We start from the raw sequence: 15,414 nt of genomic DNA, 5'->3' as shown, positions 1-15,414 counted from the left end.
GCTATATTTCTTTTTCTTTTTTTTTTTTTTTTTTTTTGAGATGGAGTCTCGCACTTTCGCCCAGGCTGGAGTGCAGTGGTGTGATCTCAGCTCACTGCAAGCTCCACCTCCTGGGTTCACACCATTCTCCTGCCTCAGCCTCCTGAGTAGCTGGACTACAGGTGCCTGCCACCACGCCTGGCTAATTTTTGTATTTTTAGTAGAGACAGGGTTTCACCATGTTAACCAGGATGGTCTCAATCTCCTGACCTCGTGATCCACCCACCTTGGCCTCCCAAAGTGCTGGGATTACAGGCGTGAGCCACCGTGCCCAGCTCCACACGCTATATTTCTGTGTGTGTGTCTTTAATTCCTCTAGTGCTGCTGGGTTATGGTCTCCACAACCGAGCTGGTCTTGGCAAGTAAGGAAGAAGAGTGGGAAAATGGCTTTTGGGTTGGTAATCGACAGTGTCTCTGGCTGGGCATGGTGGCTCACGCCTGTAATCCCAGCACTTTGGGAGACCAAGGCGGGTGGGTCATGAGGTCAGGAGATTGAGACCATCCTGGCTAACACCATGAAACCCCGTCTCTCCTAAAAAATACAAAAAATTAGCCAGACATGGTGGCGGGCACCCGTAGTCTCAGCTACTCAGGAGGCTGAAGCAGGAGAATGGCATGAACCCAGGAGGCAAGCTTGCAGTGAGCCGAGATCTCCCCACTGCACTCTCCAGCCTGGGCGACAGAGTGAGACTCTGTCTCAAAAAAAAAAAAAAAAAAAAAAAGAGTGTCTCACATGAGACCTCATCAAAACTGTTCTTAGAAAGTCACATTAATTGCTAGATCCAATGACTTCTCTCCAGTTTTCCTCATACTGGACCTCTCTGTGGAGTTTTATATTGCTGGCTCCTTCTTTCTTGAAACTCTTCTCTTGGTTTCTGCTATACCTTCTACCCCGCTCATCATGTCCTCCCCTTGGGCTTCCCTTCACTACCCTTCTTCTCTTTATGTGTTGGTATCACCCTGGGTTTTGAACCAGACTCTGTCTGGGCACCTCTGAGCATCTAAACCAGGCAATCCATTCTAACCGTGTTTCTTTCTTTTTTTTTTTTTTGAGTTGGAGTCTCACTCTGTTGCCCAGGCTGGAGTGCAGTGGCGTGATCTTGGCTCACTGCAACCTCTGCCTCCCTGTAAGGGAGGAGACCACCCCTCATATTGTCCTATTGTAGAGACAGGGTTTCATCATGTTGGCCAGGCTTGTCTCGAACTCCTGACCTCAAGTGATCCGCCTGCCTCAGTCTCCCAAAGTGCTGGGCTTACAGGCATGAACCACTGCGACTGCCTCAAAGCTGAATTTTCGATTGAAACAATGTATGTTATGAACCCCCCATGACTGTACAAATTTTCACTGAAAACTTCTGAAGCCATCCAGTGTGTGGTGTGACTTGATTTCAGATGGACATCAGTGAAGGGGCCACAGGATTTATGAGGCTGACAGTGTGGACAGTCCCACATCTGAGTCACACCTAGATTATTGAAGCCTTTTACTGGTTTATCTGCCTCTGGCCTTCCACCCCTTCCAATGCTCCCTCCACATGGCTGCAGAGTGATCTAAGATGTAAACCCAGGCTATTTCCCTATTTAAATTGTTTAATGGATCCTTAATTGGTGTTTCTCAAACTTGGAGTTCCTGGATCCCTTGGGGACACATTCTCAGGTGTCTTGAGTAAACTTTAAGAAGTTTACTGGCTGGACACAATGGCTCACGCCTGTAATCCCAACACTTTGGGAGGCCGAGGTGGGAGGATCACTTGAGCCCAGGAGTTTGACACCAGCCTGGGCAACATAGTGAGGCCCTGTTTCTATTTTAAAAAGAAAAGAAAAGAAAAAAATAAGGAGCTTACTATTTGTTTTAATTTCAGGATTAATCTTTTGTTTTGTTTTTTTTTTTGAGACAGGGTCTTGCCCTGTTGCCTAGGCAGGAATGCAGTAGCAGGATCATGGCTCACTGCAGCCTTGACCTCCCCTGCTCAAGTGATCCTCCTGCCTCAGTCTCCAGAGTAGCTGGGACTACAGGCACAGCCACACCTGGCTAATTTTTGTATTTTTTGTAGAGACGTGGTTTTGCCATGTTGCCTAGGCTGGTCTCGAACTTCTGAGCCCAAGTAATCTTCCCACCTTGGCCTCCCAAAGCGCTGGGATTACAGGCTGAGTCACCATGCCCGGCCAGGATTAATCTTAACAAAATAGTAATAACGACATAAGCATAGTCTGTAACACCGGATGACCTTATAACCAAGCACTTTCAGGAAATTTTAGTGCCTTTTTTTTTTTGCACTTGTATTATGTATTGATTGGGTTGGTGCCAAGTGATTTTCTGAAATGACAGCATTTAACTTTTAATGCTGCAACTATTTTCATCTCATTATTTACAGATATATCTGCAGCACCTAGAACAACAGTGCACATCGTAAGTGTTCAATAAAGACATGTTGAATAAATGAATGAATGAAGTTTCTCAAGCTAGGTTCTGACATCCTTGGGGCTCTTCCACAGTTTGAAATCGCCTCAGTATGGCACGTGAGGCTCTTCACAATTAAGCTGGGAATACTCAACCAGTAATTTTCCCAGACAGTCTGGGCAGGATGCGGGGGCGTAGTCCTCTTTAGAAAATAAAAAAAGTGAAAGTATAAAGCATTTATGTACATTTTGACAGGGCAGACGTGATATGCAAATGGATTGCAAATATAATGCAAATGACATGCAACTCCTCATGCAAATGAGCATCCTGTCTTTGGAATCGACTGCCGGGTATTCACTGATTTGTCTGCAGTACTGGCAGTAAATCTTTCAAGGGTTTGGGATGCAAGTTGCTTTGATGGTGATGTGTGTGTACTAGGGAGGAGGGGTAGTGGGATGGGGTCTCTCAAGGAGGAGTCGGTGTGGTGCTAACGCTTGCAGCTTAGTATGAAGCTTAATACAGTATACAGTTTAATATGAGGTTATTCTCCTGTGATGCTCTAAGGACTGACATTTCGGAATTGGTGGCGGGTGGTGGCAATGAAATGCAACTTCTTATATTCTTCAACTCTTTGGTTGCCTCACATCTTCTGTCCCATCCATCTCACATCATTGGGGTTCTGGTCCACAGGAGTAGAGAGTAGGGAGTCAGAGATCCCTAGCCCCAGGCCCTCATCATGAGGACTACAGAAGAGCTCTTGTAAATCATTTCTGGAGGAGGTTATGAGCATGGTGTGGAGTTCTGCACTTCCTAATCACATGACAAGCAGAATTTAGCTGAATTTCTAGGCCTGTTAGAAAAAGATGAGTGGTGACAAAAAGCATGGAGACTTTCTGAGAAATATAGCTGCTTAATCTCAATGCCAATAATGTGATATCTGACAAAATTGGGAAGCTTACTTGGAAATCTAAAGGGAAAAAATGTCAACTATGATTTTTTTCTTGATAAAAACCTGTTCTTCCTTGTCCTTGGTGTGAAAGGAAATTTGTGGTTACACAGACTCTTCCCCAATGATTATAAAAATATTGGGCAAATGATGCAAAAGACGCTTTAGCAGGTATATTTTAGCCTAACTCAAGATCTGTTTTTCTCTGACACTTTGCATCAGACCTGGGTTCAAACACTCAATTTTCAGCTATATAAACTTGGACAACTTATTCAACTTTTCTGAGCTCAGTTTCTGCATCTGTAGGGGAGTAATAGAATAATAGAATCCTTATGAGGCTGTCGTAAAGGTCACATGAGATAATGCATGTACTTAACACAGTGCCGGGCTCATAGTGAGCATTCAATTAATATGGCAATTTGCAATGACCATCTGTAGATTTGCTGCCTAGATTCCATTCATCCTCCATCTGATAACTGTACCCCATTTCTTCCTGGTGAACCATCATTTTCTTTTCATTCCATGTGGTCCTAATGAAACTGACTCCATCCTCAGCATCAGGAGTAGAACATGTGGCGTAAGCTGGGTGCAGTAGCTCACACCTGTAATTCTAGCACTTTGGGAAGCTGGGCCAGGTGGATCACTTGAGGCCAGAAGTTTGAGACTAGCCTGGCCAACATGGCAAAACCCTGTCTCTACTAAATATACAAAAATTAGCTGGGTGTGGTGGTACATGCCTGTAATCCTAGCTACTCAGGTGGCTGAGGCATGAGAATCACTTGAACCTGGGAGGAAGAGGTTGCAGTGAGCCAAGATTGTGCCACTGCACTCCAGCCTGAGCAACAAAGTGAGACCCTGTCTTTAAAAAACAAACAAACAAGGCCGGGCGCGGTGGCTCACGCCTGTAATTCCAGCACGTTGGGAGGCCGAGGCGGGTGGATCACGAGGTCAGGAGATGGAGACCATTCTGGCTAACACGATGAAACCCCGTCTCTACTAAAAATACAAAAAATTAGCCGGGCGCGGTGGCGGGCGCCTGTAGTCCCAGCTACTCGGGAGGCTGAAGCAGGAGAATGGCGTGAACCCGGGAGGCGGAGCTTGCAGTGAGCAGAGATCGCGCCACTGCACTCCAGCCTGGGCGACAGAGCGAGACTCCGGCTCAAAAAAACAAACAAACAAACAAACAAAAAAGAACCTGTGACTTAGGTTTAAATCATTCATACCATTCTATTCTTAGGCCACAGTGATTGGTTCAAGAATGGGGACATACACAGAGTTACCGTACAATCCAGCAATTCCACTTCTAGGTAACCTTGTATGATCAACACTCAGTGTATGCAAAGGATTAGTTCCAGACGCCCAAGTACACCAAAATCCATGCAAACTCAAGTCCTGCAGTTGGCTCTGCAGAGCCTGAGTATACAAAAAGTCAGCCCTCCATATACTCAGGTTTCACATCCTGCGAATACTGTATTTTCAATTTGCATTTGGTAAAAAAAATCTGCATATAAGTGGATCCTTGCAATTCAAACTTGTGTTGTTCAAGGGTCAAGTGTATATGAATGCTCATAGCAGCATTATTCATAATAGTCAAAAAGTGGAAGCAACCCAACTATCTACCACTTGGCATCAGAATGCTGCTATGAACATTCATGTACAACTTTTTTATATTCATACAATGGGCTATTATTCAGCAATAAAAAGGAATAAAGTACTGATTCATGTTACAACATGGATGAACCTTATAAACATTATGCTAAGCGAAAGAGGACAGACACAAAAGGCCATATATTATTTGATTCAATTTATATGAAATATCTAGAATAGGCAAACCTGTGGAGACAGAAAGATTAGTGGTAGCCAGGCACTGGAAGGAGGGGGAATGGGTAGTGGCTGTTACTGAGTATAGGGTTTCTTTTTTTTTTGAGACAGGGTTTGGCTCTGTCGCCCAGGGTGGAGTGCAGTGGCTAACTGCCATTTCTGCCTCCCAGGCTCAAGCACTCCTCCCACTTCAGCCTCTGGAGTAGCTGGGACCATAGGCACTCGCCACCATGTCCAGCTAATTTTTGTATTTTTTATAGGGAAGGGGTTTCTTATGTTGTTCAGGCTGGTCTCAAACTCCTGGGCTCAAGTTGTCTGCCTGCCTTGGCCTCCCAAAATGCTGGGATTACAGGTGTAAGCCACTGTACTTGGCCTAGAGTTTCTCTTTAGGGTGATAGAAATGTTTTGGAATTAGATAGTGGTGATAATCATACAACATTGTGAATATATTAAAAACTACTGAATTGCATACTTTAAAAAGATGAATTTTATGGAATGTGAATTATATCTCAATTTAAAAAACTAAACCAGATAAAATAAAACAGTGGACATATGTCTCAAGTAGACTAATGACAGCCAGTAAGACCCACTCTAATTCTTTGGAGTCATGAGGGAAGCAAACTAGTTCCTTTCTTTCAGGACTCCAACTTGAGAGAATATAGGGTCTGGAGCTGCTGTCCTGTCTTGCTATGTGTAGATCCGGAGACTGAATTATCCAACTCAGCTGAAAGCAGAGCCAAGAAATGGAGACACCAAGACCTGTTTACACATTGGAGCTACAGTAATTAATTGTCCCAGTTTGCCTGGGACTTTCCTGGTTTTAGAACTGAAAGTCTGTATATCACGTTAAGCTGGAGCTCCGAATCCACCTCTGCTTGAAGGTCAACATGTTACCCGTGGACTTTTCAATTACAGTCATGCACCATGTAATGATGTTTTGGTCAATAACGGATCACATATGCGATGGTCATTCCATAAGATTATACTACAATAGTTTCACTGTACCTTTTCTATGTGTAGATATTTTTAATTTTAATTTTTTTTTTTTTGAGACACAGTCTCACTCTGCCACCCAGGCTGGAGTGCAGTGGCGCAATCTCGGCTCACTGCAACATCTCCCTCCCCGGTTCAAGCGATTCTTGTGCCTCAGCCTCCTGAGTAGCTGCAATTACAGGTGTGTGCCACCATGCCTGGCTAATTTTTTTATTTTTGGTTTTTTTTTTTTGAGATGGAGTCTCGCTCTGTCACCCAGACTGGAGTGAAGTGGCGTAATCTCGGCTCACTGCAACCTCCGCCTCCCGGGCTCAGGTGATTTTCCTGTCTCAGCCTCCGAGTAACTGGGATTACAGGCAGGCGCCACCACACCTGGCTAATTTTGTATTTTTAGTAGAGACAGGGTTTCACCATGTTGGCCAGGCTGGTCTTGAGTTCCTGACCTCAGGTGATCCGCCCGCCTTGGTCTCCCAAAGTGCTGGGATTACAGGTGTGAGCCACCGAGCCCGGTCCTCTGTTTAGATATGTTTAGATACGCAAATACTTACCATTGTGTTACAATTGCCTACAGTAATCAGTATAGTAACACGCTGTACAGATTTGTAGCCTAGGAGCATAGACTAGACTGTATAGCCTAGGTGTGTAGTAGGCTATACCAGTGGTCCCCAGCCTTTTTGGCTCCATGGATGGTTTCATGGAAGACAATTTTTCCACGGATGTGGGGAGTAGGGTGGCAGTATGGGGGGTAGCAATGGTTTCAGGGTGAAACCGTTCCCCCTCAGATCATCAGGCATTAGTCAGATGCTTATAAAGAGCACACAACCTACATCCCTCACATGCACAGTTCACAATATGGTTCGTGCTCCTGTGAGAATCTAATGCTGCAGCTGATCTGACAAGAGGCGGAGCTCAGGCAGTAATGTGAGCAATTGGGGAGGGGCTGTAAATACAGAAGAAGCTTTGCTTGCTCACCTGCTGCTTACCTCCTGCTGTGAGGCCCGGTTTCTCACAGGCCATGGACTGGTACCAGTCCATGGTTGAGGACCCCTGGGCTATACCATCTAGATTTGTGTGAATACACTTTATGATGTTTGCACAAGGACAAAATTGCGTAAAGACATTTCTCAGAACATATCCCAGTCATTAAGCCATGGATAACTGTGCATGAGTCAATAAATTCTCTTTTTGGCCAGGTGAGGTGGCTCACACCTATAATCCCAGCATTTTTGGAGGCCAAGGCAGGCAGATCACTTGAGGTCAGGAACTTGAGACCAGCTTAGCCAACATGGCAAAACCCCGTCTCTTCTCACTAAAAATACAAAATTAGCTGGGCATGGTGGCGCACACCTGTAATGCCAGCTACTCAGGGGGCTGAGGCAGGAGAATCGCTTGATCCCAGGAGGCAGAGGCTGCAGTAAGCTGAGATCCTGCCACTGCGCTCCAGCCTGGGTGACAGAGCAAGATTGTTTCAATAAAAAAAAAGGCTGGGCTCACGCCTGTAATTCCAGCACTTTGGGACGCCAAGGTGGGCGGATCATGAGTTTGAGACCAGCCTGACCAACATGGTGAAACCCTGTCTGTACTAAAAATACAAAAATAATTAGCTCGGCATGGTGGTGCATGCCTGTAATCCCAGCAACTTGGGAGGCTAAGGCAGGAGAATCGCTTGAACCCGGGAGGCGGAGGTTGCAGTGAGTTGAGATCGCGCCACTACACTCCAGCCTCACAACAGAGCGAGACTCCGTTTCAAAAAAAAAAAAAATTCTCTTTTTGTTTTTGCCAGCATCACAGGTTGGGTTCTCTGAAGGCAGGCACTGAGACAGTTTAGGGTTCAAGATATTTATTGTGGAACAACACCTGTGAAAAGAAGAAGGCAGAAGCAGAATTGGGCAGAGGAAGAAGTCAAGATGCAGGCTCTTGGTCGATTTGGTAGAGAGTTCTGGAGAAAGTATTGCCTTTCAGAAGTTTCCACATTGGGCCAAAATGGCTGAGCCACACTATACTTTTCCCTCCTTTTCTTAATCTGAAAACTTCAAGTGATCCTTCAAATCTCAACTGTTAAGTGTTGCTTTCTGGGGGAAGCCTTTCCTGGAGCCCCCAATGACATTAAGTCCCACAGCACCTGGCTTATCTCCTTTATGTGTAGTAATTTGATTAATTAATTATTGTTTATTTTTTGTTTCATGCCTGTCTTACATGCAGAATTTTAGCTTCCTGAAGGAAGGGACCGTTCTGGCTAGCTATTGCTAGGTTGCAAACTACCCTATACCTTCATGGCTTAAAACAGGCTGATGAAATAGGACCCATTTACTAGATCCAGCCCATAGTCTGTTTTTGTTTTTTTGTTTTTGAGACGAAGTCTCATTCTATTGCCCAGGCTGGAGTGCAGTGGTGTGATCTCGGCTCACTGCAACCTCTGCCTCCTGGGTCCAAGTGATTTTCCTACTCATTCTCTGGAGTAGCTGGAATTACAGGTGAGCATCACCACACCTGGCTAAGTTTTTGTATTTTTAGTAGAGACGGGGTTTCACCATGTTGACCAGGCTGGTCTTGAACTCCTGATCTCAAGTGATCCACCTGCCTTGGCCTCACAAAGTGTTGGGATTACAGCTGTGAGCCACCATGCCTGGCCCACAGTTTTTTTTGTTTTTTGTTTTTTTTGTATAGCTGGCAAATTATGAATTTTTTTAAAAAATGTTTTTAAGGGGTTGTGAAAAAAGAAAGAATGAAACAAAAAACAAGAATAATATGTGACAGAGATGGTATGTGGCTCATGAAAGACTACAGGGAAAGTTTGCCAACCCATGGACTGAAACAACCATTTTGTTATATCTCATAATTTTGTGGGTCAGGAATTCAGAAAGGGTTTGGCTGGCAAGTTCTTCTGTCTTATGTGATATTGACTGGGACCTCTCAGCAGCACACTAGCTATATAGGCTGGTGTGGTTTGGAAGATCCAAGAGGGCTTCATTTGCATGTCTGGTGCTTTAGTAGGAGGCTGGAAAGCTGCTCTCAGCTGGGCCCCTCTCCCTTTCCACATTCTGTCAAGGTAGTTGGAGTTATTACAGAGTGGCTAAGGGCTCCAAGGGAGTGAAGTGGAAGCTCTTAAAGACTAGGCTCATTTCTGGGCGCGGTGGCTCACGCCTGTAATCCCAGCACTTTACAGCACTTTAGAGGGAGGCCGAGGTGGGCGGATCACTTGAGGTCAGGAGTTTGAGACTAGCCGGGCCAACTGGAGAAAACTTGTCTCTACTAAAAATACAAAAATCAGCTGGGCACCGTGGTGCGCACCTGTAATCCCAGCAACTTGGGAGGCTGAGGCAGAAGAATTGCTTGAATCCGAGAGGCAGAGGTTGCAATGAGCTGAGATCACTCCATTTCACTCCAGCCTGGGTGACAGAGTGAGACTCTCCGTGTTAAAAAAAAAAGACTAGGCTCATGACTGGATAGCACCACCTCTTCTGTACTCTATTGGTCAAAGCAATCACAGGCCAGCCTAGATTCAAAGGGAGACGAAAGATACCTCACCTTCTGATGACAGGAGTGGCAAATAATTTGAGGCCATCTTTAACAGTCTCTTCACTCACGATTGTATTCCCAGTGCATAGCACAGCACCCAGCACGTGAACTCAATAAACTTGTTAACTAATGGACACACTCTGGCAGGTGGAATCTGACCTATTTGTAATATGAAAGTATTAGATTTGGAGCTAAATCAAGGCTGAGGGCTTCTTGGACCCTTAGGGAGCACTTAGGTCCACACATTCCAATTTGGGGCTGCCACGCGCCCAGCACTATGCTGCATCTCTCAGCGCATTTGGACTTCAGTTTCCTTTTTGGTTAATGAGGGGCAACAAAACAAGTATCTCATGGGATTCCTGTGAGAATTAAATGGCATAAGGAATGTGAGCAAACTTTATTAACTGTAACTGTAATGTTCTGCTTAACATTAGGTTATTATTGTCATTGTTGCCCAGGGTGAGGTGCGGACAAGGCCGTGGCCCTCAGATCCCCTGCCCTGGAGAAGGGCCCTTCAACCTCACTCCACTCCCCAGCTCTTACCCCTGCCAGTTCCTGAGGAGCAGGTGTTAGGAGAATGAAGCAGGGTTCCTATGGCTATGCAACCCAGTCCTAGCTGTGGAAGATTTACTTCCCAGCAGTGGCTCTAATGATGGTTTGATGGGCCTCATAATTCCATAATGATCCTGGAGCTAATGCCTCTCACCCTGGGCATCTCTGCAGAGGCCATGGGGAAATGGGAAGCCACAAAAACTAAACAAATAAGAATGATTAGTTGCATGTGGCCAACCTCTTGTTGCCTGAGTTAGCCTATTTTGTGCACCAATATGTGGAGTAATAAAGACGCTTCTGAGAAAAACCACATTCAACTTGTCATCCTCCCCCAGCTCAGAGGATGGAGTATTCCTTTCCCCAGAAAAGTCCCCAAAATTATCTTGTCCAGAAACATTCCCACACTTCTCATTTCCTGTGTGTCTCATTTTTAGCTGGAGGGAGGGTTTGTCTACCTGAGTAGATAAAGGTTACCTCTTCTTTCAACCTTTTCATGAAAGCATCCATATAGCCTGGGCATGATGTATAATGTGTGTGTAGGTCTGAGAGTGAGGTAATTATTTGGAATGTTAAGTAGGGATATAAAGCAGAATCCCCTATGTGAGTTTGTAAGTACTCACACATGTATTTGTGTGTGATTTAACTTTGCTCAGTCTCTAGCACAATGTCTGTGTAGCCAACAGGCATGGAAAAGAGTAGTACTAATAATAGCTAAGATCGGCTGGGTGCGGTGGCTCACGCCACTAATCCCAGCACTTTGGGAGGCTGAGGCAGGTGGATCACCTGAGGTCAGGAGTTCGAGACCAGCCTGACCAACATGGTGAAACCCTGTCTTTACTAAATACAAAAAATTAGCTGGGCGTGTTGGTGCATGCCTGTAATCCCAGCTACTTGGGAGGCTGAGGCAGGGGAATTGCTTGAACCTGGGAGCGGAGGTTGCAGTAAGCCAAGATTGCACCATTGCACTCCAGCCTGCGCAACAAGAGTGAAACTCCGTCTCAAAAAAAAAAAAAAAAATAGCTAAGATATATTCAGAACTTCCTGTGTGTCAGGCACTAGGCTGGATGCTTTACTTGTATCATTATCTCATTTAATCTCCATAATAATGGTTAAGGTGAGTACTAATATCATCTCCATTTTACAGATAAGAAAGCTAGTCTCTAAGGTTGGTTAGAGTTGAGCGACTTGCTTAGCTAGTGAGAGGCAGTCAGGACTTGGCCCTGTCTGATTCCAAAGTTGTTTTAACTGCTACAGAATTCCAAATTCATGTTCTCTGATGACAATTATATTGGATTCGATTATCTAATGTTCTGAGACAGGCTGCACAGCAATCTTTATTCACATGTGGTCTCCCAAAGCTCTGGCGTTTGGGAACCTTTAGTAGAGACAGTGTCAGCAGAGGGAAGAGTTCTCCCATCATTGGCTTGCTCACCGAGGACTGTGCTGGTGTGGTCAGTTACCACACTCATCATGCCCAGGATTTTCTTACAGCAGACACCATCCCTTCTGCAGCTCTCTGCTCAAGGAAACAGCATTGGCTCTTGTGTCGGGGTAGGTATAGATTGGACCAGGGATGGGGTCCACATAGGCTGCCCTACAACAGCCCTGCAGTGGCTTGGTTTATAGGACTCTTCCAGGTTGGGCAAGGGCGAGGGGGATGCTGGTGAGGATTACAATGAACTATTCTAGTTGTATTAGGCCCTTCTTGCATTGCTATAAAGAAATACCTGAGATTGGGTAACTTATAAAGAGAAGAGGTTTAATTGGCTCACGGTTCTGCAGGCTGTACAAGCATGGCACTGGCATCTACTCAGCTTCCGGGGAGGCCTCAGGCAGCTTTCACTCATGGAGGAAGGTGAGGCAGGAACAGGTATGCCACATGGCAAAAGCAGGAGCAAGGCCAGGGGAGGAGCTATACACTTAAACACCCAGATCTCATGAGAACTCACTGATTATGGTGAAGACAGCACCAAGCCAAGGGAGATCTGCCCCCATGACCCAAACACTGTCACCAGACCCCATCTCCAACACTAGGGATTACATTGCAACATGAGATTTGGGTGAGGACAAATATCCAAACTATGTCACCAGACAACCTGGCTCATCCCAAATTTGGAATGTAGAGTGAATTGCTCTTGGCCCATCAGACACCTGGGTGTGATGCAGATGACAAGAGTGACAGAACAAGCGGCCCATGAGAGGGAGCGTCGTCTCCTTTACATCTGATGTCTGTCTTTACATCAACCCTTTATTATGGGTCAAAGCAAATCTGAACTGCTCTGTATGAGAAAAGGGTGAAGAATTTGGAAGCTTGAGGGAGAATGTGACGAAGAGGGAGATGTGAACTGGCTGAATGGGTGCGGTGCAAGGGAAAGAGGAGGTAAAAAGTGATCCACGGAGGCGATATGGGGTGGGAGAGGAACTTGTGGGGCAGGGACTGTTCCTGTGGGCTTTCAAGTTGTTTGCTTGGGGGGAGTGATATTAACTTCCTCCTCCATCACCCCTATGATGTCTTTGGTAAATTCTGCATTTCACACTCATACTTTTGTAGGTATTACTTCTTGGTAGGGAAACAGAGGAGGGGGAGGGGACAGCTGACATCTGTGTTATACTCCATCTTCTCCTGCCTTATTTCTTTTTCTTTTCTTTTCTTTTTTTTTTTTGAGACAGAGTTTCACTCTTGTTGTCCAGGCTGGAGTGCAATGGCGCAATCTTGGCTCACTGCAACCTCTGCCTGCCAGGTTCAAGTGATTCTCCTGCCTCAGCCTCCCGAGTATCTGGGATTACAGGCATGCACCACCACATCTGGCTAATTTTGTATTTTTAGTAGAGATGGGGTTTCTCCATGTTGGTCAGGCTGGTCTCGAACTCACGACCTCAGGTGATCCACCTGCCTTGGCCTCCCAAAGTGCTGGGATTATAGGTGTAAGCCACTGCGTCTGGCCTTCCAGCCTGATTTCTTTAGGATCTCTTAGGGTTTTCAAGGCTATTCTACATGTGTAAGTTGGCACATCTGATTATACATGTCTAGTTGTATAATTAATACACCTGTAGCAATGTGCACATCTTTGTGTGACAGTGTTCATGTAAGTGGATGCAGAATGTTTTATCTACGTGTATAAACATATTTATGTGCTGTGCGTGAGTCTGAATGTGTAAGCTGTGTTCACAAGTGTGTATGCCAGGGCTTGTGGCACACTGTATTTTCCAGAAGTGTCTGCCAGGATACAGCCCATCCCACATGTTCTCTTTACAAAAGGATATTAATACTCCTCTGAATGAGAGGTGGGTTCTCTTTCTCTTTGAATGTGGGCTGACCTTTGTGACTCACTCAACCAATAGAGTACAGCAGAAGTGATGCTATGTGACTTCTGAGGCTAGATCATAAAAATACCAGATACTTTTATGCCGTGTTCTCTTGGGATGCTCATTCTTGGAAACCAGCCACCAAGCTGTGAGGGGGCCAAGTAGCTATTTGGAGAGGCCGCTTGTCAGTGTCCTAGCTGACAGTACCAGCTGAGGTTCCAACCTGCAGCTAGCATCAACTGCCAGCCATGAGGGTGAGCATCTTCCTGTAGTTGGGCCACCCCAGCTGACAGTGTATGGAACAGAGTCAACTCTTCCCTGTTAAGCCTTGTCCAAACTGCTAAACAAATTATTGTTGTTTTAAGCTACCAAGTTAGGGATGCTTTGTTATGTGGCAGTAGATAACTGGGACAGGGCTGTGTCTGTGTCTGCCCTGTGTATGGATTCCTGTGATTCTGTGCTTTTGTGGGTGTCTGCAGGCACTGCATTGGTGTCAGGTGTCTGTGTACATTAATAGGTGTGTGGTTGAAGGCGCTTCTGGAGACAGAGTCATGGTTCTTGGGGCTTCGCTTTGGCCTCAGTGGGAAGCTGTTTGGTGAGAACACTTTGAAATCTTGTCTGTCTTCTGGGTCCCTTCTTTTGAGTGTTTTTCCTTTGAACCAGAAAGGCTTGTTTAGCTGAGAGCAAATGCAGCTTAAATTTACTGACCTTCTTCTGGCCTAAGCCCCTTGGAGCTGCCAAAGACTTCCAAGCAGGTGGGAGGCTGCCATCCAGAACCCTCACATCCCTTTCAGAGGGGCTGGAAATGCTTTTTTTTCTCCCCCTTTTCTGCTTCTGAGGCCTTCAGAAATAAGCCAGAGACAGAGAAAAGCACAGTTACTGGAGTCCTTGAAGCCTCTTGGGGTGGAGAGATCTAGAATTCTTGAATGCCAGGAAGAAGCTGCTCAGGTGCTGCTTGGGTCCCACAGTAGAGATCATCTGGTCTCTGCCCTGCCTTGGCCACAGCAGCCCACTCCATCTGAGTGCAGCCCAGGAAGTGGAGGAATCTGGTTCGGGAGCAGTTCTCCTGATTTCCCCTGGAGTGCCCCTTAGCTTCCTGCTTCTTCCATGTTGGCCCCTTGACTTAGCTTTTCTGGGAATGCTGAGTGCTCTGGCTTCACACCCCTGCCGTAGCACTGCCTCTCAGGACCTCTCAAGCACTGTTAGACAATAGAGCTTTTTTTTTTTTCTGAGATGGAGTTTCGCTCTTGTTGCCCAGGTTGGAGTGCAACAGCGTGATCTCGGCTTGCCGCAACCTCTGCTTCCCAGGTTCAAGTGATTCTCCTGCCTCAGCCTCCCGAGTAGCTGGGATTACAGGCATGCGCCACCATGCCCAGCTAATTTTTGTATTTTTAGTAGACAGGGGGTTTCTCCATGTTGGTCAGGCTGGTCTCAAACTCCCGACCTCAGGTGATCTGCCTGCCTCGGCCTCCCAAAGTGCTGGGATTACAGGCGTTAGCCACCGTGCCCGGCCACAATAGAGCTTTTTCATAGAAATGTTCCATCATTTTTGTTGTCCAGTATAGTGGACTGAGCATTTGAAATGTGGCTAGTGTAAATAAGAAACTGTATTTTAACTTTTATTTAATTTTAATTAAATCTAAACAACATGCGGCAATTGGCTACCATATTGGACAACACAGCTCTGAAGAGTTCAGTGGGAAGAGTTTTTGTTCATCTGCAAAATAAATCTGCCCCACCTACCTCACAGAGGTGTCTGGAACAAACAAGGTGATAAATGTGAAAGGGCTTTACTCACAAAAGGGATCTGAAAAGACAGCAGTGTGAACCTCTGGAGTGC

This window comes from Homo sapiens, chromosome 5 (assembly GCF_000001405.40).
Source record: "Homo sapiens chromosome 5, GRCh38.p14 Primary Assembly".
NCBI lineage: Eukaryota > Metazoa > Chordata > Mammalia > Primates > Hominidae > Homo > Homo sapiens.
The sequence above is the reverse complement of the archived record's forward strand: the minus strand, read 5'-3'. Positions refer to the sequence as shown.